Below are 23436 nucleotides of genomic sequence, written 5' to 3'. Positions count from 1 at the left end.
AAAACTCAAGCAGATCATGTCATTCTTTCAGAACCTTCCAGTAGCTCCCATCTCACTAGAAGAAAAAGCCAGGCTGGGCGCAGTGGCTCACACCTGTAATCCCAGCACTTTGGGAGGCCGAGGAGGGCAGATCACCTGAGGTCAGGAGTTCGAGACCAGTCTGGCCAACATGGTGAAACCCTGTCTCCACTAAAAATACAAAAATTAGCTGGGCATGGTGGTGCACGCCTGTAATCCCAGCTACTCTGGAGGCTGAGGCAGGAGAATTGCTCAAACCCAGAGGTTGCAGTGAACCGAGATCGCACCACTGTGCTCCAGCCTGGGCGACAGAGCGAGACTCCATCTCAAACATAAACAAACAAACACAAAAACGAAAAAGCCAGAGCCCTTACTGTGGCTTAGGAGGCCCCTATATGATGCAGCCTCCAACCCTCTGATTTCATCTGCTGCTCTCGTCCTTTCTGTCTCTGCCCAAGCTGCATGGGCTGTCACGGTTCTTCCTATGCACCAAGTACATTCACAGCTTGGGATGTTTGTGCCATCTTTCTGTGTGGGACATTCTCCCTTCAGATAGCCTTATGGCTTGCTTCTTTGCTCTGTTCAAATCTCTCCTCATTAGAGAGACCCTCCTCAGCCATCCTATCTAGGAGTGCAGTGCAAGAAAGTTTAAAGACAGTGGCCCTCGCAAAAGCCCCTGTGGAGTGAGGAAGTTTAATTTTTTTCCTAAAGGATTGGGAGAACACTTGTGTTCCAGATCACGGATGGTGGGGAAAGCTGACACAAGGTGAGGCTTAGGAGGAGGCAGGTGACAAATCACCCAGGGCTTTATCAACTGTGTTAAGGACTTGGGTCTTTAGAAAAGCACACAGGATGCTGGGGGTGGGGTGGCGGGGGGTGGGTCATGAAAGGCTTCTCCGGGGAGGAACGGTAGTATTGGATGAAAAAGTAGAGGTCAGAAGCCTTCAGGTGAAAGGCATTGTTTCAGGAAAGGAGCAGAGGCTGAAACTAGCTTAGGATATGCCAGGATGTAAAAGCAGAGAATGTTGGTGGCAGAAATAAGACACATACCAGTTTTATGCTCAAGGAGCTGAGATGGACAAGAATAACCAGCACAGAGCAGACTGTGTGAAGAGTCGTCATGTTAGGGGTACACGCAGCCCACACTCCAGTCAAACTATGCCGTCACTGTCCCTCCATCACGGGCACACTTTCCATCTTCTGGGTCTTGCTCATCCCCTTCCCTTTGCATGAGATGCCATCCCCAGCACCTCTGGCCATCCTTCTCATATGGTATCTTCTCCAAGAAACCTTTCCTGATCCCAATAACTAGAGGAGTTATCGCCCTCCTTGGGGCCTTTTTGACCTTTGTGCTTCTAAAGTGGTACTGTCTGTTCCTCCTTCTGGCATTCCTTCCCCCTGGTAAACTACTGCTTTTTAAAAATTTTTTAATTTTCATGGGTATGTAGTAGGTATATATACTTACAGGGTACACTCATATATTTTGATACAGGCATGTAATGTGTAGTAATTGCATCAGGGTAAACAGGGTGTCCATCACTTCAAGCATTTATCCTTTGTATTACAAACAATCCAATTATACTCTTTTTCTCTCTTTTTTTTTTTTTTTTTTTGAGACCGAGTCTCGCTCTGTCACCCAGGCTGGAGTGCAGTGACATGATCTCAGATCATTGCATCCTTCACCTCCCATTTCAAGCGATTCTTGTGCCTCACCCTCCTGAGTAGCTGGGATTACACGTGTCCACCAACATGCCTAGCTAATTTTTATGTTTTTAGTAGAGATGGGTTTTTACCATGTTGGCCAGCCTGGTCTCGAACTCCTGACCTCAAGTGATCTGCTCGCCTCAGCCTCCCAAAGTGCTGGGATTACAGGCGTGAGCCACTGCATCCAGCCCAGTTATACTTTACTTTTCTTTCTTTTTTTGTGAGACAGAGTCTCACTCTGTTGCCAGGCTGGAGTGCAGTGGTGCGATCTCGGCTCACTGCAACCTCTGCCTCCTGGGTTCAAGCGATTCTCCTGCCTCAGCGTCCCAAGTAGCTGGGACCACCAGTTTGTGTGTGCCACCACGCCCAGCTTCAGTTATACTTTTCTAGTTATTTTAACTACTGCTTTTTAACTGTGAGAGTTAAGTATATCTTCCTTGGTCTAATTCCCTCCAGCAAAGTTGTGACTATCTTTTTAAATGTCATTGCCCTGTACAATCAATAAGAGGTACCTGTAATGATAGTTATTATTTCATCATCCTCAAAATCTCTTTGTGGGGTAGGTATTATCTATGTTTTATAATTGAAGAAACAGAGACTCAGAGCCATGGAGTAATTTGCTCAAGGTCATGGAGCTACTGAGTATTAAGAGTCTTACCTTGAACAAAGGACCATCTCACTCCAGAACCTCATGTTGCTTAAACTACCCAAACATTGCCAATTGAGGCTTCAGTAATTGTTGCATATTAGCTACCTGATTAATTTCAGTCACTTTAGTGTTCTCCATAAAACTGCTCATATAGTTGAGAGGCAATAAGAGTGAACTCAGCTGTCCTACTGCTAGGACTGGTGCCCTGCTTGTAGTGTTATAATGGTGCCCTGCTGGCACTCTTCCTTTGGCCTTCGAAGGTTCAGAGCTGCCCTGAATTTTATTCAAGAGCAGCTGAAATAAAGTATGTTAGGATATTCGGAGACAGGAAGTCTCAATCACTGCTGGTGGACACAAGTAGGTAAGGTTCTTTTGGAAAGCAGTTTGGTAACATGGTTCAGGATCCTTGAAAATGGTTTGCACCCTGTTGACCTAGTGATCACACTGATAGGTGTTCATCTTAAGGCTGCCCCCCAAAAAGCTTTTTCTACACAGACACTCCTTTTGTATTTGTAAGAAAACCTTCATTGATGGAATATTATGCAGTCACATAAGTGATCATTTTAAGAGACTGTTATATGAAAAATCATTTTTGTGTATAATCCCCAATTTTACATAATCTTGACAAAGCAGGATGCAAAATTAATTATAGTATCATGTTCTAGATCAGTACTTGGCACATTGTGGGCATGCAGTAAATATTTGTTGAATAAATGAATGATCATCAGTGGCATGAATCTCACTATGTGAAGAAAAGGAAATATACTAAAATGTTAATAGTGTTTGCCTTTATGTGGTAGAACTAAGAGTGTTTTTTTGTTTTTTGGGTTTTTTTTTTTTTTTTTGAGACAAAGTCTTACTCTCTTGCCCAGGCTGGAGTACAGTGGTATGATCACGGCTCACTGCAGCCTCTACCTCTGAGGCTCGAGCAGTCCTCTTGCCTTGGCCTCCCAAAGTGCTGGAATTATAGACATGAGCCACCATGCCTGGCCTAAGAGTGGTTTTTATCCTGTGATTTCTACTTTCTTTTTTCCTTTTTTTTTGAGACATAGTCTCACTCTGTCACACAGGCTGGAGTGCAGTGGTGTGATCTCGGCTCACTGCAACCTTTGCCTCCTGGGTTCAAGTGATTCTCCTGTCTCAGCCTCCAGCATAACTGGGATTACAAGGCATGTGCCACTACACCCGGCTAATTTTTGTATTTTTAGTAGAGACAGCATTTCACCATGTTGGCCAGGCTGGTCGAACTCCTGACCTCAGGTGATCCGCCTGCCTTGGCCTCCCAAAGTGCTGGGATTACAGGCGTGAGTCACTGTGCGCAGCTGATCCCACTTTCATTTTTGTTCCCATATTTTCTGTAGTGATTATGTAGACTTACTGGAAAAAATAACCTTCATTAAAATTTTTTGGACTTGAATCAAAGAAGTAAAGTTTAGGACTTAGATTATATTCCTTGTTCTCCCAAAATTATTTAAAATAAATGTTATTCTCCCCATGATACAGATGAAAACACTGAGGTTTAGAGGGGTTTAGTTACTTACTCAGGCTTGTGTATTTAGTAAGTGGCTAGCTGAGCCAGAACCAAAATCTAGGTCTGACTCCAAATTCTGTTGTCTTCATAGTCATTTTTCTATATCAGATTGATCTCCTGATGAGATTTTTTGTTTTTCAAAGCTTTTGCCCTTTGTATCAGGTAGGGTCTATAGCAAAGCTGAGGTTGTGACAGCTTGTCTTTAAATTCAAAGTATAGCATTTCTAGTGTGGGTAAGGTTTCTGAGGCCCGTGTGCTCTAATTGATTTCAGAATTTGGCAATGCAGCCACTTCTCTGACAGCAAACCCAGATGCCACCACAGTAAACATTGAGGATCCTGGTGAAACCCCAAAACATCAGCCAGGATCCCCAAGAGGCTCAGGAAGAGAAGAAGATGATGAGTTACTGGGAAATGATGACTCTGACAAAACTGAGGTTTGAACTTGTCTTTGAGATATTTTTTAAACAATTTTTAAAGCTTGTTTATGTGCTTATTCACTGTCTACTGTGTGCCAGGTACAGTGTCAGGCAATGACAGCTCAGAGGTAAATGACACATGGCCTCTTCCTTGGTGGGGGAAACAGGCAAACAGACCATTACTTTCCGTAAGTACACTTGTGGAGGGGAACACTGGGGTAGTGAGCAGAGATCCTAGCTTATGGAATGTGGGACTCCCATGCTCAATATTTTCTAATATTAGAGTAGGAAAGAACCTTCATGGCCCTCTGTTTTAGCCTCTCTCCTGAGATATTGATGCTGTCCTTGCTATGTAGGAAAGATAACACTTGGAGCCAGGCGTGGTGGCTCACGCATATAATCCCAGCATTTTGGGAGGCTGAGGCGGGCAGATCACTTGAGCCCAGGAGTTCGAGACCAGCCTGGGCAACATGGTGAAACTCCACCTCTACAAAAAGTACAAAATATTAGCCGAGTATGGTGGTGGACACCTGTAGCCCCAGCTACTCGGGAAACTAAGGTGGGAGGATTGCTTGAGCTTGGGGAGTAGAGGTTGCAGTGAGCTGAGATTGCACCACTACACTCCAGCCTCGGCAACAGAGTGAGACCCTGTCTCCAGAAGAAAGAAAAAAAAAAAAAGGAAAGATTGAAAACACTTGCTTGAGTACCTCCAGGAATGGGCTGTTTACCACCATGTAAGGCAGTTGCTGCCACTGTCGACTTTAATTGTGAAAATGTTTTTCTTTAATGTTTTTTCTTCGACTTTTATTTTAACTTCAGGGGTCATGTGCAGGAGGTACAGGTTTGTTACATAGGTAAACATGTGCCACAGTGGTTTGCTGCACAGATCACCCCATCACCTAGGTATTAAGCCCAGCATCCATTAGCTCTTCTTCCTGATGCTCCCCCTCCCATGTGTCCATGTGTTCTCACCATTCAGCTCCCACTTATAAGTGAGAAGATGTGGTGTTTGGTTTTCTGTTCCTGTGTTAGTTTGCTAAGGATAATGGCTTCCAACTCCATCCATGTCCCTGCAAAGGACATGATCTCATTCCTTTTTCTGGCTGCGTAGTATTCCATGGTTGTATATATACCATATTTTCTTTATCCAGTCTATCATTGATGGGCATTTAGGTTGATTCCGTATCTTTGCTATTGTGAATAGTGCTGCAGTGAACATAAATGTGCATGTATCTTTATAATAGAATGATTTATATTTCTCTGGGTATATACCCAGTAATGGGATTGCTGGGTCAAATAGTATTTCTGCCTCTAGGTCTTTGAGGAATCGCCACACTGTCTTCCACAATGGTTGAACTAATTTACACTCCCACCAACAGTGTAAAAGCATTCCTTTTTCTCCGCAACTTCACTAGCATCTGTTGTTTCTTGACTTTTTAATAATCACCATTCTGACTGGCATGATATGGTGTCTCATTGTGGTTTTGATTTGCATTTCTCAAATCAAGATATTGAGCTTTCTTTCATATGTTTTTTGGCCACATGTATGTCTTTTGAGAAGTGTCTGTTCATGTCCCTTGCCCACTTTTTAATGGAGTTGTTTTTTCCTTGTAAATTTGCTTAAGTACTTTGTAGACTCTGGATATTAGACCTTTGTTAGATGGATAGATTGCAAAAATTTTCTCTCATTCTGTAGGTTGTCTGTTCACTCTGAAGATAGTTTCTTTTGCTGTGCAGAAGCTCTTTAGTTTAATTAGATCCCATTTGTCAATTTTTGCTTTTGTTGCAATTGCTTTTGGTGTTTTCATCATGAAATCTTTGCCCATGCCTATGTCCTGATTGGTATTCCCTAGATTTTCTTTCTTTTTCTTTTTTTTTTTTTTTTTGAGATGGAGTCTTGCTTTGTCGCCTAGGCTGGAGGCTCATTGCAACCTCCGCCTCCTGGGTTCAAGCGATTCTCCTGCCTCAGCCTCCCAAGCAGCTGGGACTACAGGCACGTGCCACCATGCCCAACTAATTTTTGTATTTTTAGTAGAGACGGGGTTTCACCATATTGGCCAGGCTGGTCTCGAACTCCTTACCTCATGATCCACCCATCTTGGCCTCCCAAAGTGCTGGGATTACAGGCATGAGCCACCGCGCCCAGCTGGTATTCCCTAGATTCTCTTCTAGGGTTTTTTTAGTTTTGTGTTTTACATTTAAGTCTTTAATCCACCTTGAGTTAATTTTTGCTTATGGTATAAGGAAGGGGTCCAGTTTCAGTTTTCTGCATATGGCTAGCCAGTTCTCCCAGCACTATTTATTGAATAGGGAATCCTTTCCCCATTGCTTGTTTTTGTCAGGTTTTTCGAAGATCAGATGGTTGTAGACGTGCATTCTTATTTCTGAGTTCTCTGTTCTGTTTCATTGGTCTATGTGTCTGTTCTTGTACCAGTACCATGCTGTTTTGGTTACTGTAGACTTGTAGTTTAGTTTGAAGTCAGGTAGCATGATGCCTCCAGCTTTGTTCTTTTTGCTTAGGATTGTCTTGACTATTTGGGCTCTCTTTTGATTCCATATGAATTTTAAAATAGTTTTTTTCTAATTCCGTGAAGAATGTCAATGGTAGTTTACTGGGAGTGGCATTGAATCTATAAATTACTTTGGGCAGTATGCCATTTGCACAATACTGATTCTTCCTAACTATGAGCATGGAATGTTTTTCCATTTGTTTGTGTCCTCTCTTATTTCTTTGAGCAGTAGTTTATAGTTTTCTTTGAAGAGGTCCTTTACTTCCCTTGTTCCTAGGTATTTTATTCTTTTTGTAGCAGTTCATTCATACAAAAGAACGAGAGTTCATTCATAATTTGGCCCTCTGCTTGCCTGTTGTCGGTGTATAGGAATACTAACAATTTTTGCACATTGATTTTGTATCCTGAGACTTTGCTGAAGTTGCTTACCAGCTTAAGAAGCTTTTGGGCTGAGATGATGGGGTTTTTTAGATATAGAAACATGTCATCTTGCAAACAAAGGTGATTTGACTTACTCTCTTCCTATTTGAATACCCTCTTCCTATTTGAATACCCTTTATTTGTTTCTCTTCCCTGATTGCCCTGGCCAGAACTTCTAATACTATTGAATAGGAGTGATAAGAGAGGGCATCCATGTCTTGTGCTGGTTTTCAAGGGGAATGCTTTCCTTGGTTGGGGATGGGTGTTCCTTTGTCTCCGTGCTGCTCCTGGGTGAGCCATCGCCCCACCCTGCTTTTCTTCATTCTCCGTGGGTCGAGCTACTTGCCTAGTCAGTCCCAATGCAAGAACCTGGGTATTTCAGTTGAAGGTGCTGAATTCATTCACCGCTTTCACTCCTCTCTGTGAGTGCTGCAGACCACAGCTACTTCTAATCGGCCATCCGTTTTCCTTTATAATGAACAAAAAATATCTGCCTATAGCACCTGCCCTTGTCCTGCAAAGCAGCTCAGTGTTCACCGTACTTTTTGCTGTATGAATTCCCTTCGGATATCTGAAGATGACAGGCACAATTCCTGGCATTGGGCATGCATTCTGCCACCAAAGAGCTGTGTTGTTGGGATGGGTATGGCCCTCCTCAGGTGCCTCTTCTCAATAGGATTTTTTTTTTTGTCAGAGTAGTAATATTTTTAGTACTTTAGAGTGAGTCAATATATCAGATTTTTGAGAATTCAGGTGGCAATAGTAGGGAGGATTGTGGATGGATGGGGGAGGAAGAGATATTTACACTGCTGGATGCAGTGGCTCACGCTTGTAATCCCCGTGCTTTGGGAGGCTGAGGCGGGAGTATCACTTGAGCCCAAGAGTTTGAGACCAGCCTGGGCAAAATAATGAGACTCTGTCTCTACAAAAATTAAACAATTAGCTGGGCATAGTGGTGTACGCGTGTAGTCCCAGCTGCTTGGGAAGCTGAGGTGGGAAGATTGTTTGAGCCCAGGAGTTCAAGGCTGCAGTGAGCTATGATTGCACTACTGCACTCCAGCTTGGGAAAGAGAGTGAGACGCCATCTCAAAAAAAAAAAGCGAAAAGATATTTACACTGACTGCCTTCTGTATGTGTTGTATGTGTGTATATGTATTTATTATTGTACATAATTCTATATACTGTTGAATCTAGATAAGGGAACTAAGCCCAGCAGGAGTCTAGTGATTTGCCAAAGCTCCCCTCAGTGGAGGGGCCAGGATTTGAACCCTTTTGGTGTGACTTCAAAACCAATGCTTGTTTTTCTAATCAGGCTGAGAGTTGCGAATTGGCTATTTCAGAGTTGGTTATTGAATGTGGAAGAGCCTATTGTTTCAAACGTTTTGCTTTTCCATTAGATCAGATCCCTCCTGCACCCCACGCAGCTGGAATTAAGAAATTGCTTATGTGTTCATTATGTTTTATTTTATTTCTGACAGTTACTTGCTGGACAGAAGAAAAGCTCCCCCTTCTGGACATTTGAATACTACCAAACATTCTTTGATGTGGACACCTACCAGGTTTGGAAACCAATTTCACCTTTCCTTTTACGGGTAAAGGAGACTTGTTTCTTTAATGGTTGAACAACCAAATAATGTGAAAGCCTTTATATACTGAAAATGGTCTTACAAAAGTAAAGGGTTATTAGCATTTGAAAATACTATCATAAAAGCTCTAATGACTGAGTTTCAATTTTGTAGTAGTTGAATTTATTAAACTTAAAAAACTTCAGTAGAATTACTGCTATGATGTTTTCCAGGTCTTTGACAGAATTAAAGGATCTCTTTTGCCAATACCCGGGAAAAACTTTGTGAGGTTATATATCCGCAGCAATCCAGATCTCTATGGTATGTTTAGTACTGATTTGTTTACCGTATTTCAGTTGAACTTGGGTGAGTGTGAGGGTTGCCTGGAAATGTGGAGAACTGCACTATTGGTGGGGCATGCCATGTATTATTAGACTTTTCTGAACTTCAGTAGCAACCCTTGCAAGTAATTTTGGAGGAATACAATTATGTGTTATATTAGTGCCACGTCATCATTACAAGTACTAGTATATCCTTCAAAGGTCTTTAAATGGGGCTGAGCGCAGTGGCTCATGCCTATAATCCCAGCACTTTGGAAGGCTAAGATGGGAGGATTGCCAGAGGCTAGGAGTTTGAGACCAGTCTGGGCAACATAGCAAGACCCTGTCTCTACTAAAGGCTGGGTTGGCACAGTGGCTGCCGCCTGTAATCCCAACACTTTGGGAGGCCAAGGCAGGAGGATTGCTTGAGCCCAAGGAGTTTGAGACCAGCCTGGGCAACATAAGGAGACCCTATCTCTACTAAAAAATAAAAATAAAAAGAATGATTTTTAAAAATTCTTCAAATAACTTTACAACTTGAGACAAATTTAGTCACTTTGACTAGGTGGAGATTGGACCATTTGATGTTGGAGGAGAAGGTATTCTCACACTTTTTCATTGATATGCTGAGTTCCAGCTCTGCCCTCAGATGAGCTGGCTCCTTTTAGGATTTGGTCACCAGCAGTGGAAGTCTAAAACAGGATTGGGCCGGGGATTGTTGTCATCCCTGACCTTAATGCTGTCTGAGAAAAACTCAGAGGTCCACCCAGTACTCCTGAGGAAAAGGCCCCAACAGTGGCCTGTGTTTGAGGGGAGAAGAGAGTGCTGTCCGTGTGCCAGGTGCTGTACCAAAGACTGTGTGTGTACTTGATCATATCTCATTCTTGCAACAACCCTTGCAAAGTATCCCCACTTTTCAAATGAGGAAGCTGATGCTCAGTGAGGATCATTGATATATATGCTCAATCAGAAATGATAAATAGTAAAGCAGTCATATATGTTGATTTTAAATATGGACTCTAGGGAGCCTGGTGTGAAAACCATTGCACTGGCCCATGCTTTTCATCTGAGGGTTGTCAGGGTGGTTTCTCTGTCTCATTCATTCTTACTTGTAGCCTGAGAACATCCTGAGGGGCAGGCTCTGTGCCTCAGTGTCTTTAGTGCCTGGCAGAGGCCTTGGCACACAGCAGGTGCTCAAACAATTTTTAGCACCTTATTTTATGCTAGACTCTGTGCTAGAGGCTGAGGATTTAAAGATAAGGCCATGGTCCCTAGCCCCAATGAGGAAGAAGAGAGAACACTAACATCTGTTGAATACCTTATAAGTGCCAAGCGTGGAGATAAGCACTATTTTAGTATTTTATGCTATTTTATTTCCCATACTCCAAGGTAGCCTTATCTTACAAAAGAGAAAACTGAGATTAAGGAGATAACTTGCCCGTAGTTACAGAGTTAGCAATAATAATGGCAAACACACATATAATGCTTATTATGTGCCAGACACTATTATTAGGGCAGTACCTGTATTAACTCATTTAATCCTTATGCCAGATCCAACTTCATGAGGGAGATACTATTATTATCCCCATTTTATAGATGAGGACACTGAGTCACACAGAGGTCCAGTAACTTGCCTGAGATTATACAGCTAGTAAGTGCTGGGCTCAATTTTCAAATCAACACTGTAGCTCATAATCCATTTCTTCATCACTATGCTATACTGCCTCTCATGACAAAGCCAGGGCTTGAATCCAAGGCTTGCTTCTTTTCTGTGACACTAGTAGCCTCATTAGCTCATAGACGTGGTTAAAAGAAGAAGGTACAATATAGGTGAAGTGTTTGATAGCAGAGAGGATTAGGTTTTGTTGTGGGTGGAGGTTAGAGGAAGGCAGTTAAGAAAAAGATGACAATTTACAGAGTGTAAGGAAAAGATTGATAACTTTGACTACATTTCACCTAAAATTTAAAATTTCTACACAACAAAATAAACCATAAGTAAAGTAAAAAAATAAACCACAGACCAGGGGACATACTTCCAATGCATATAACCAACAAACAGTGAGAAACAAGAATATATGTCGAACTCCCACAAATTAGAAGAATAAACCAAGCAACTCTGGGGAAAAAATTGCCAATAAATATATGAAAAGATGCTTAGCCCCACCTGCAACCAGAGAAATAAAAAGTAAAATAAGATTATTTATGCTCATTATTTTAGTAAACATACACAGTTTGGCTTGTCTTCATTTATTCATTCAATTCATTCAACAAACATTGAGCTCTTGCTATTGTACTGGAGATACAGCAGTGAAAACATAAAAATCTCTACCCTTAGGCAATTTTTAATTTACTGAGCTTAACAATAAGCAAAGAAAAGTAAAATATATAGTTTTCTAGTAATGAATGCTTAGGTGAAAATTTAATAGCAGAGAGAAGAAGGACATGAAGTGTTTGTATAAATGGGTGAATTTGAAAATTTAAAAAGGTGAATTTTGAGTAATGACCTGAAGTAATTGGGAGTGATTTATGTAGATATCTAAGGGAAGAGCACTTGAAACAGAAGGATCAGCAAGTGCAAAGGCCCTGAGGCAAGAGCTAGCCTAGTACATTCAAAGAACCTCAAGAGGCTATTGCGACTGGATGAGAGTGAACAGGGGGACCTAGAAGGAGATGAGGTGAGAGAGACAGTGTGGAGGGACAGGTAAGGTCTCATAAGTCACAGTGAGGACTTTGGCATTTGCTTGAATGCAAAGCCATTGGAGAGTTTGGACAGACGAGTAACATACTTTTTTGTTTTTTGAGACTGGGTCTTGCTCTGTTGCCCAGGCTGGAGTGCAGTGGCTCGATAATGGCTCACTGCAGCCTCAAAATCCTGGGCTCAAGCCATCCTCCCCCACCTCATCTTCATGAGTATCTGGGACTACAGGCATGTGCCACCATGCCTGGATAATGTTTGTATTTTTTGTAGAGACAGGGTCTCACTATGTTGTCCAGGCTGGCCTCAAACTCCTGGCCTCAAGCAATCCTCCTGCCTTACCCTCCCAAAGTGCTGACCTTACAGGCATGAGCCACTGCCCCAAGCCAGGAGTGACATACTCTAAGTCAGATTTCATGAACATTGATATTAAGTGTGGCCAAGGATATGGAGCAGTGGAAACTTTTGTATGGTAGGTATGTAACTGGTGGGTATGTAACTGGTACACAAATTGGAGCAGTTTGAAGATGCTTATACCCTATAATTCAGCAGTTTCACTCCTAGGTAGATAATTTTAGAGGAATTCACATATATATGGAACAACATATAGAAGAATATTATCCACTGTAGCAGTATTGCTTGTAATAGCAAATATTTAGAAACAACCAAGATATCCATCAGCAGGAGAATGGATACATTGTGCTACTATATTTATACATGGAATTCTGTAGTTAAAAAAATGAATGAGAGCTAAAAGCATAAATATAGATAAATCTTAGCACAATGATTTTAAAAAGCATGTTGTGGAAGGATATGAATAGAATGATACCATTAAAAATATATATATATTTTTTGAGACAGAGTCTCACTCTGTCACCCAGGCTGGAGTGCAAAGGCGCAATCTCGGCTCACTGCAACCCCTGAGTCCTGGGTTCAAGTGATTCTCCTGCCTCAGCCTTCCCGAGTAGCTGGGACTACAGGCATGTGCCACCACGCCAGCTAATTTTTGTATTTTTAGTAGAGACGGAGTTTTACCATGTTGGCCAGGCTGGTCTCAAACTCCTAACCTCAAATGGTCTGCCTGCCTCAGCCTCCCAAAGTGCTGGGATTATAGGTGTGAACCACCATGCCCGGCCTAAAAATATTTTTTAAAAGTGACATGCTAGGTAACCAGTGTTTGTGTTATTCTTCGTGCTTTTCTGTATGTTAGAAATATTTCATAATATAAAAATGCATAATATGAAATTTTAATTATAAATACAACCTAAATTAAGGCTCTCTCCCACCCCCAACCCATAATAAGAGTAGGAATTTGGCAGGAAACGGAGAAGGCAGTATGAAGCAACATGGCAGGTCCTGGGATGAGTGGGTGTCGTAAGTCTCTGGAGTCCAGCCTTCCACTGGGGGTAGCTGGAGAAGTTACAGAGCCCAGATCCTGGGGCCTTTTATATCAGCCTCAGGAATTAGGATTTTGTCCTTAAGCAGTGGAGGTTCAGTGAAGGGTTGCAAACGGGGGAGAGGGATGATAATAGGAGAGGGACAAAAATGCTAAGGGCTGGGAAAGTTATCTTGCTTGTGTCCAAGGATGAGCATTGGGCCACATAGAGGTAGTGGGTGGGCAGGTGTTGGACCTTTCAGGCCACCTGAAAATATTGTTTCTCCAGCTGTTCCCGTGCCAGAGTTGTTAGGTAGCTTAGAGCATGGGGCAGCTAGAGAATGCTAGATAAGTCTTCACATTAGTATACATATCTTCCCATACCAGCCTGCCTTTAAAAAAGTTAATTAATATTTTAGTGAAAGGGTTTCATCATGTTGCCCAGGCTGGTCTTGAACTCCTGAGCTCAAGTGATCTGCCTGCCTCAGCCTCCCAAAGTGCTGGGATTATAGGTGTGAGCCACCGCATTCCCCCCCGCCCCCACTTTTTTTTTTTTTGAGATGAGGTCTTGCTGTGTTGCCAAGGCTGGAGTGCGGTAGCTATTCAGAGGCATGATCATAGCTCCCTGCTGCCTCAAACTCCTAGCCTCAAGTGACCCTCTCACCTCAGTGTCCTGAGTAGCTGGGACTACAGGCTTAAGCCACCAGGCCCAATTCACAGGCTTCCTGTTGCCCTCAAGATAAATTCCTAACTCAACAGGGCTTCTAAGACCCTTCATGATCTGACTCTGGCCCATCTCTTCAATCTCTGGCTACTCCTGACCTGAAGCTTGGCCTCGAACTGGTACCTCTTACTTCAGTCTCTGCTCCTGCTATTCCCTCTTCACGGACCTCTCTTCTCTTCTGTCCTCACTTGGTGAACTCCTGTTCTTCTTTAGATCCCAGCTTACACATCCCTTTCTCTAGGTTTTCCACCTTCCCTATATGCTCCCATAGGCACCCTGTACTACCTTCTGAGATTAGATATTTTATTGATCGTCTCCCCGGAGTGCATGGGTGCACTAGAGGCAGTGACTGTGTCTCTGTTGCCCATCATCGTGTCCCCAGCAGAGGGTAGTGGGTACTTAGTAAATAATGACTGAGAGGACATAATATTCTTGGTTTTCTAGTTATTTGGGTATTGTAAGTTAATATTTTGGCCACTTGTGGTCATACCCTTGGATGGTCTCAGCTCATCTATAACACATGGTCAGATTTATTCATTCAGTAAAGCTTTTTGGCTATAGGGGCTTTGTGGGGTTTTTTGTTTGTTGTTGGTTTTTTTTGCCACTCTTATGTGTGGTCACTCAGAATAATACTGTGAGATTTAGTCCTTGTCTACAGCAGAAAGCTTTCAGTCTAGTGAGTAAAGAGGCAGTTTGTGGAGAGCTAATATTGGTGACTTTTTGAAGCATACCCATTTGATTGCTTGTGTTCCTTTTCCCACCTTCAGGGGCCAGTGCTTGCCTTTGAAAAGTACTAATCTGTTTCTGCTAGTCATCTCACCTATGACAGTAATGTTCGTAATTTTGTGACGTGTCAAGGTACCTGAAATTATCCCAAAGGGTGTTGCAAAATATTAGTGAAATTGAAAAATGAAATTCATACAATTTATTAAAATCTCTCAATCTAAAGATAGTATTTGTTCTACATAGTACTTTTTCTAGATGGGGAGAGACAAGGATAGTGTTCACGAAATCATGCAAATAATGAAAGAGGTTTGTAAAGCATGGTCCACTCATCTGCTCAGTGGTATATCTTAAAACCATTGAAAAAGAACAAGCTGATTTTTATGAGTAGCTGTGATAGACTCACCAGGCTATATTAAGGTGAAAATAGAAGGGTACACAGGAGGACATATATGTATGTTATCATCTGTATAAAATATGCACATATACACATGCATTTGCTTATATACATGAGTGGAATATTCCTAGCAGGTTTCATCAGAAACTGCTTACTTTGGTGAGCTTTAGGGAGGAAAGATAGAGAGCCGGGGCACAGAGAGGGAGTGGATCTTGCTGTTCTCCATATTCCCTTTGTACCTTTTGAAACACTGGACCATATACATATATTACTTTTTTTAATTTTTAATTTTAATTTTTGTGGGTAGACAGTAGGTGTATATAGTGCATTGTATTACTTTTTCATTAAAAAAAAAAAGAAAAAGCCTTAAGCACACACACACACACACACACACACTGACACTCAACACAACCGTGGTGAACTGGTAGGTTTAATCGACTCTGCCCTCATGTGTTCTGTTTGCCCTGCTCTTTCTGTATGCTGCACAAGCTCTGTCTGATTTAACTTCTTTCTCTGTGATGCTAACATTTGGCACTTAGATAAGCGAAGTAATCTTTACTTCATGTATTCTGGTGGAAGGTTTAATAAAAAGCCTGTGAATTTTTCTTTGTCGGTGGTGATCCTCCAACAAAAGAAGCTATACAGAAATCAGTGTCTTCATTCACCTAATTGTGGAAGGCGTTTTGGCCTTTGGATTGGAGTACCAACACCCCACCTTCTTTAAGGCAGCTAATTACTGAGATGTGTGTTTGACCTTTGAAAAAAAAATTTCCCTTCAGCAAGTGTTGATCCCATCTAGAAAATTCATTTTCTTTTGCTAACATGAATACAAGAGGAAGATAAGAAATTCTGTAAGAATCTAAAGGCTTATGCTTCATTTTCTTGTTTCTGAATTTTCTGGTTTCCTTTGCAGGCCCCTTTTGGATATGTGCCACGTTGGTCTTTGCCATAGCAATTAGTGGGAATCTTTCCAACTTCTTGATCCATCTGGGAGAGAAGACGTACCATTATGTGCCCGAATTCCGAAAAGGTTGGTGAATAGCTTGACTCATTTGGAATGCTGTCAGTTTCTAGCTTTGAGTTCTTTTTACCCACTGAGCTCCTGGGCCCCATCTCTAGATGCTGCAGCCCTGCTTTTGTGTTTTAGGGTTCAATGTATCTACTCAAATGTGTAGATGAGTTTACCACCCATCTATATAAATCCACATAATCTTTTTCTTCTTACAGTGGTAAAATATATATTACATAAAATTTACCATTTAAATGTGTAATTCAATGGCATTAAGTACATTCACAATGTTATGAGTCCACATAATCTTTGGGAAAGCTGTAAATCAAGGCCGAATAGCAACTGCAGTTTATTCCTTTTTTTTTTTTTTTTTTTTTTTTGAGACAGTGACTCGCTCTGTCACCCAGGCTGGAGTGCAGTGGTACGATCACAGCTCACTGCAGCCTCCACCTCCCTGGGCTCAAGTAATCCTCCCACCTCAGCCTCCTGAGTAGCTGGGACCATAGGCATGCAACACCATACCTGGCTAATTTTTCTATTTTTTTATAGAGATAGGTCTCCCTGTGTTGCCCAGGCTGATCTCAAACTCTTGGGCTCAAGTGATTCTCCCATCTTGGCCTCCCGAGGTGCTAGGTAGGATTACAGGTGTGAGCCATCACACCTGGCCACAGCTGGAATATATTCTAAGACAAGTGTACAAAATAATTTAAAGGTGTGTGTGAAGGTCTCCTGTGTGGCATTATTTGTATTATCCACATTTTGGAGACAATAGAAACATTGTTTTAGGCTGTGATGGCTCAACTAGCTGGGGTCATCTGCAATTGCCAGTCACAAAGCACCTAGAGCTATGTGGAAAATTCATAACTTATTCCAAACTGGTGCCTATTCTGTTAGCAACTTTGCTGAAGAGAAATCTGGGCTGGACATGGTTGCTCATGCCTGTCATCCCAGCACTTTGGGAGGCCAAGGTGGGAGGATTGCTTGAGCTGAGGAGTTTGAGATCAGCCTGGGCAACATAGTGAGACCTTGTCTCTAAAACTAAAAACTAAAAAAAAGTTACCGGGTATGGTGGTGCATGCCTGTAGTCCCAGCTACTCAGGAGGCTGAGTTGGGAGGATGACTTGAGCCCAGAGATTGAGGCTGTAGTGAGCTGTGATCGTACCACTGCACTCCAGCCTGGGTGACAGAGCGAGTCACTGTCTCAAAAAAAAAAAAAAAAAAAAAAAAAAAAAGAGACCCGGTGCGGTGGCTCAAGCCTGTAATCCCAGCACTTTGGGAGGCCAAGGTGGGTGGATCACAAGGTCAGGAGTTCGAGACCAGTCTGACCAACATGGTGAAACCCGTCTCTACTAAAAATAAAAAATTATCCAGGCATGGTGGCGCATGCCTGTAATCAGGAGGCTGAGGCAGGAGAATTGGTTGAACCCAGGAGGCGGAGGTTGCAGTGAGCCGAGATCACGCTACTGCACTCTAGCCTGGGCAACAGAGAGAGACTCTGTCTCAAAAAAAAAAAAAAAAAAGCGGGGAGAAAGAAGTCTGCAAATGATCAAAGCCTGGAAGGGAAAATGCAGAAATGAATGTGTCCTAGGGATGGGCTTGTGAATGACATTCTTGTTTTAAAACGTCCTTTCTTATGTCAGTATTGGGTATTTAGAAGAAAAAACAAAACAGCTTTTAGAGACTTGCAGATGACAGCTGCCCCCAAATGAGGAAGTTTGGCTTTGTCGGAGATTGGCCTGTACCACTTTCTCAGTTCCCTCGCTCTCTCCCTGCCTGCTCTGCTGTCGAGAGGCTGTAAGTAGCCTGGATAAGAGCACCAGTTCTGGAACTAGACTGCTAGCTTCAGTTCCAGCTCCACCACTCACTAGCTTCTACTCTGTTGGGCAAGCTATTTTATGTCTGAGCCTCAGATTCTTCATTGGTGAAATGGAAATAATAATATTTATCTTACAGGACTATTGTAAGAATAAAGAGTTAATATATATAAAAAGCTTAGAATAGTGGTTTGTACCAAAAAGAGTTCAATAAACATTAACTATTACTATACACACACACACACACAAAAATATGTGCACATATATTCAATCCCATTATTTATCCAGTAACCTTGGTTTGAGTTTAATGCAATAAATGTTAACCATGAGATAGAAACCCTGCCTTCAGCTAGTTCACTGTGTGTACATAGAAAGATATGTATTTGCCTGTGTGTGTGTGTGTGTGTGTGTGTGTGTGAGAGAGAGAGAGAGAGAGAGAGAGAGAGAATGTATCCATGTATCCTTCCTTCTTTTCTTCCCCTCTACCTTCCATGCCCACTTTCCCTTCTTGTCCATCATGGAGTCAGACTTGGATTCAATCCCAACTCTATCAAATAACCTTGATTTGAGTTTAATTCAGTAAATATTAACCATGAGATATAGATCCTGCCTTCAAGTAGTTCAGTGGTTAGAAAGCTAGTAAATGACTATTGCTGTAAACAGTACATATTAACCTCTATATCAGAGATAAGTGTAGGTATATTGACATAGAAGAAGGAGTGAACCACTTTGCCTGGGGATCTGGAAACTCAGGAGAGTCTTTACCTGTTCTTATCCTCTTTGGCTGGGCATCCCAGTATCAGGAAGTGATGTGATATATATACTGGTAAAGTAGTCATTGGCCCTATCAATAAACATTTTTCCGTTTTATGTAAAAAGTATGAGTCACATCTGAGATGAGATCCTGCTTCTACTAACTTGTTAATTATGTGACCTTGACCAAACAACTTAGCTTCTCTGACCCCTTTTCCTCATCTCTAAAATGACAATATAGATTGTATGAAATAAATGTAGCTACATATTAGTTAACAATATAAAAACTAATTCTTGATTGAGCATTTATTATTGATCAGTCGCTCTTCTACATAGAACAGTTCTTACCTGCTTTTATTCATTTAATTCTCCTATTAATCTTAGAAGGTAGTATATTATTTTTCTTCCCATTTTATAGATGAGGAAACTGAGACAGGAAGGTTAAGTAACTTACCCCCAAGAGTTTCTTTTCCTAGAACTAGAACCCATGGAGTCTGTATACAGAGTCTGTGCCCTTGACCATTATTCCACATTGCCTCTCAATAAAGCACCGAGTGTAATACCTGATGCCCAGTAGTTGATCAATAAGTGACAGCTATAGCCATGGGAGTAATTTCCTCCTCTTCCCTTAGTTATCCAAGAAAAAGGCAGTACATCAGCAGAATTACATTTGGCCTAACGAGGCAATTCCCAGTGTGAAAAAACTGTTCTGGGAGCTAAAACATGTTTTGGACATTCATGTCTTAACCAGAGTCTGACTATAATTGTTAGGGGTGTCTTTGTTCTTGCCAAGATGCATTAAGTGAATTACCTACTGATTTTCATGTAGAAAGGGCTGGTGCCATGGCTTACCTATAACTTTATGACCTCCACTCCAGAAGAGGGAAAGGGAATCCTCCAGGGCGTGCTGCTACTAGAGGAAGAGGAGAGAGGTACAGGAATATGCTGAACGTTGCTGTTCTGAGGAGCCACTCAATAGCATTTTTGCCACAGTGGCGGAATTATTTATTTAAGGAAGAAAGTATAACTGGAGAATATTTCAAGCAGTTAATCAGTGAGCTGCATCTCCCAATTTCAGAGACAGAGGAACTCTAGAGAGCATGCAGAGCAAGTTAATCTCTACCCAAGGCATTTTAATACATTTGCTAAAGAAGTCAGTGTCAGCCGGGCGTGGTGGCTCACGCCTGTAATCCCAGCACTTTGGGAGGCGGAGGCGGGCGGATCACGAGGTCAGGACCATCCTGGCTAACACGGTGAAACCCCGTCTCTACTAAAAATACAAAAAATTAGCCGGATGTGGTGGCGGGCGCCTGTAGTCCCAGCTACTCGGGAGGCTGAGGCAGGAGAATGGCGTGAACCCGGGAGGCGGAGCTTGCAGTGAGCCTAGATCGCGCCACTGCACTCCAGCCTGGGCGACAGAGCAAGACTCTGTCTCAAAAAAAAAAAAAAAAAAAAAAAGGAAGTCAGTGTCAGCTCTTGTTATACCGAGGAAGAGAACATGTTCTTCCAAGGGGATAGTTGGTTTTTATTTGATTGAAATATCTACTATATATGAACATTTGCAGTGTGGCCCTCTGAAGTATTTCAGTTGCATAGTTCAGTTGTTTAATAATATTAGTTGTTAGTTATTAAATGACCTATAAAAACCATATGAGAGACTATTGATCCTCACCACAAAGACGAATGGTAAAGATTCATTAATTCAACAAACATTTCTAAAGTGCCTACTGTGTGTTAGGTACTGTACCAAGCTCAGGGATTACAGACCAGTAAGACATGATTCCGTGGTCCACTGAAGTCAATTGACATGTTAGCATTTAAGTACAATAAGGTGTTGGAAGTGCTCTGATAGTCTACTAAAGGCATGATGGAGATTGAAACTTGTGTCCTGTCATCCTCAGTGTCCATAGCAGCTACCATCATCTATGCCTATGCCTGGCTGGTTCCTCTTGCACTCTGGGGTTTCCTCATGTGGAGAAACAGCAAAGTTATGAACATCGTCTCCTATTCATTTCTGGAGATTGTGTGTGTCTATGGATATTCCCTCTTCATTTATATCCCCACCGCAGTAAGTACCATACTTAGGGAGTAGATTCTGAGTGATGCTCTGTTCTTGGTAGAAACTTCAACCAAGAATTTGACCTACCATCATTATTTCCAGCGCAATACTCATGTTCTTCTGAAAAAATCTCCTTTGAAGTTAGAAGTTAAGCATGAAAGGGGTCTGGGGAGCCTAGTGCCTTCATTGGATCTTGGGCCCTTTGTTATAAAAGCATATGCCTCAGTCTACATGCTGGTGGTGTTCCTCCAGCCTGTACTGAAAAACCAGAGTGGCAATGGGGGCCCAGCTGCTGATTGGCTCAGGGGCCTTTGTAAACATATGTGCCTGGAATGAACAAATGCCTCCCAAGAACTCCCCGCTCCTCCTTTTCTCTTCTTTCAGATACTGTGGATTATCCCCCAGAAAGCTGTTCGTTGGATTCTAGTCATGATTGCCCTGGGCATCTCAGGATCTCTCTTGGCAATGACATTTTGGCCAGCTGTTCGTGAGGATAACCGACGCGTTGCATTGGCCACAATTGTGACAATTGTGTTGCTCCATATGCTGCTTTCTGTGGGCTGCTTGGTATGGGTTCAGTCGTATATTCTTTTGGTGTGTTTTATATCCAAATGCTAAAAGACCTCAAACTGTTAGACACAACAGTTCTTTTAAAATTGAGTCCATGGGCTGGGCATGTTGGCTCACACCCATAATCCCAATACTTTGGGAGGCCCAAGTGGGCGGATCTCGAGCTCGGGAGCTCAAGACCAGCCTGGGCAACATGGTGAAACCCTGTCTCTACTAAAAATACAAAAATTAGCTGGGCATCGTGGCTTAAACGATCCTCCCACCTCAGCATCGCAAGTAGCTGGTACTTGGGAGGCTGAGGTGAGAGGATCGCTTGAGCCCAGGAGGTGGAGGTTGCAATGAGCTGAGATCATACCACTGTACTCCGGCCTGGGTGACCGAGGGAGACCCTGTCTCAAAAGAAAAAAAAATTGATTCTATGAAATAAAATTTCATTTTAAGTAGACTCACCTACATGGGAAGTGGTGAAATTATGAGAATTTGGCTTTAGTCTTTGGTTTTGCCTAATTTCAGTAATCTGATGAGAATTTGGGGTCTGACCAGAGGAAATAGGTGTGGATGAGTGTCTGTATACATTTGTTCCTTGGTATGGGGGTTGTGGGGGTGTGGTTGGTTCCAGGACCCTCTATGGATACCAAAGCATGGATGCTCAAGTTCTCTATATAAAAATGGTGTACAGACATCCTCCTATGTGCTTTACATCATTTCCAGATTACTCATAATACCTAGTGCAATGTAAATGCTATGTAAATAGTTATTATACTGTATTTTAAAATGTGTATTATTTTTATTGTCATATTGGTGTTTTTAACTTACATATTTTTAAAGAATATTTTTCATCGTGGTTGGTTGAGCCTGAGCATGCTGAGCCTGTGGATGTGGAGGGCTGACTATATAGAGTTAGGGAGCTGGGGTGGGGGATTCTGTTTTTGGATGTCTTTGCTGATTTTCTGCACATACCTAGAAAGATTTTTGAAATTTAAAGTTTTATTTAAAGGTAGAAAGTTTAAAGTTTAAAGGTAGGAATTAAAAGTTTTAAATTTGAAGGTAGAAAGCTTGAAAATGAAGTCAGATATGGGAAAGTGGAGTTACTTTTAAGGTGAACAACATTTAAAGTAGTGTTTGAGTTCATATGTAGGTGTCTTTTTAGGGAGAGAGCATGTGCTTTTGAGTCAGATAAGCCCAGATTGAAGACCGGCTCTGTCACTCATTGGCTGTGTGAACTTGGAGATGTTATTGTTCCTCTCTGAATCTTAATTTCTTAATCTGTGACATGGGTATATTTCCTGCCACAAGATTGTTCTGAGAGGCAAATAAAATGATATCTATAAAGCACTTAACATGGAACTTGTCCTGTAAATGCCCATAAATTAGGTCCCTTTCCTTTGATCCTAAGGAGACATGGTTTTGTGTCTTCTGTACACTGTGCACAAAATTTGCTGCCCACGGCCTTAACAAGCCCTGTTGCAGGTTTTGAAAAAAAAATCAGAGTCCAAGAATGTTAAGGTCCCTAATAAAGGAAAGGACATGGCCATGGGAAGGTGTCTTAGTCCACATGGCAGGTTTCCAGACCCTTGGTCAGGTTTTGCAATTTTAGGAGTAAATGTTTCTTTGGCATCATTTGATCTTTAACATTTTTGTGTAGATAACCATGTCTCATTAAATGCATTAATCTGATTAGAATTTCATTAGATTAATGAAATCCCAATGCCTTATCATTAAACAAGTTTCATAAAAAGTGCCAAGTTGTGAAACACAAACCTAGTTTACATGCACTTTACATGTGCGTAAGCTTTAAGCCCTCAAGGCGGGCCTGTTGGTTTGACTCATGGCAGAATGACACTATTAATTTCTGGCACTTGGAATCTCTGAGTTGATCCCTTAAAATGCTGCCGTGACTCTTCTGGGACTTTTCTGTCTGCTGAAGAACATCCTTTTCATTGTGACCAACTCTCACTGGCATCTCTCGTCCCTCACTGGCATCTCCCGTCTCTCTTCTGAAGTTCTTCCCCTCACGTGCCTGGCTGAGAAGTTGGTGAGGAGAAGGAGGCAGGAGAGGAGGCATTGCCCTTCTCATTTCTCTAAGGAATAGGAGCAGGGCAGGTTGAGCAGTGAAGCAGGGAGCTATTATGGTTATTATTAAGAACCCACTTCAGGCCAGGCTTGGTGGCTCTCGCCTATA

At 42.1% G+C, this 23436-nt stretch overlaps 1 protein-coding gene across 4 annotated transcripts in view; it reads left to right on the top strand.

The window, feature by feature from the left end:
* The window catches only part of YIPF1 (Yip1 domain family member 1), a 38065-nt gene that overhangs the window by 2347 nt on the left and 12282 nt on the right, over nt 1–23436 (top strand). For all 4 annotated transcript variants that reach the window (NR_135075.2, NR_036640.2, NR_036639.2 and 1 more), the window contains 6 exons: nt 4175–4338; nt 8729–8809; nt 9049–9136; nt 15963–16079; nt 20527–20693; nt 21069–21251. Coding sequence is in view for 1 of the 4 variants with exons in the window: in NM_018982.5 (NP_061855.1) it covers nt 4175–4338; nt 8729–8809; nt 9049–9136; nt 15963–16079; nt 20527–20693; nt 21069–21251 (800 nt within the window). In the remaining 3 variants the exon portion in view is untranslated. The remainder of the gene's footprint in view (nt 1–4174; nt 4339–8728; nt 8810–9048; nt 9137–15962; nt 16080–20526; nt 20694–21068; nt 21252–23436) is intronic.

The sequence above is a fragment of the Homo sapiens genome, chromosome 1 (assembly GCF_000001405.40).
Source record: "Homo sapiens chromosome 1, GRCh38.p14 Primary Assembly".
Taxonomy (NCBI): Eukaryota; Metazoa; Chordata; class Mammalia; order Primates; family Hominidae; genus Homo; species Homo sapiens.
Note: the sequence above shows the minus strand (reverse complement) of the source record. Positions and strands in the feature narration are given on the sequence as shown.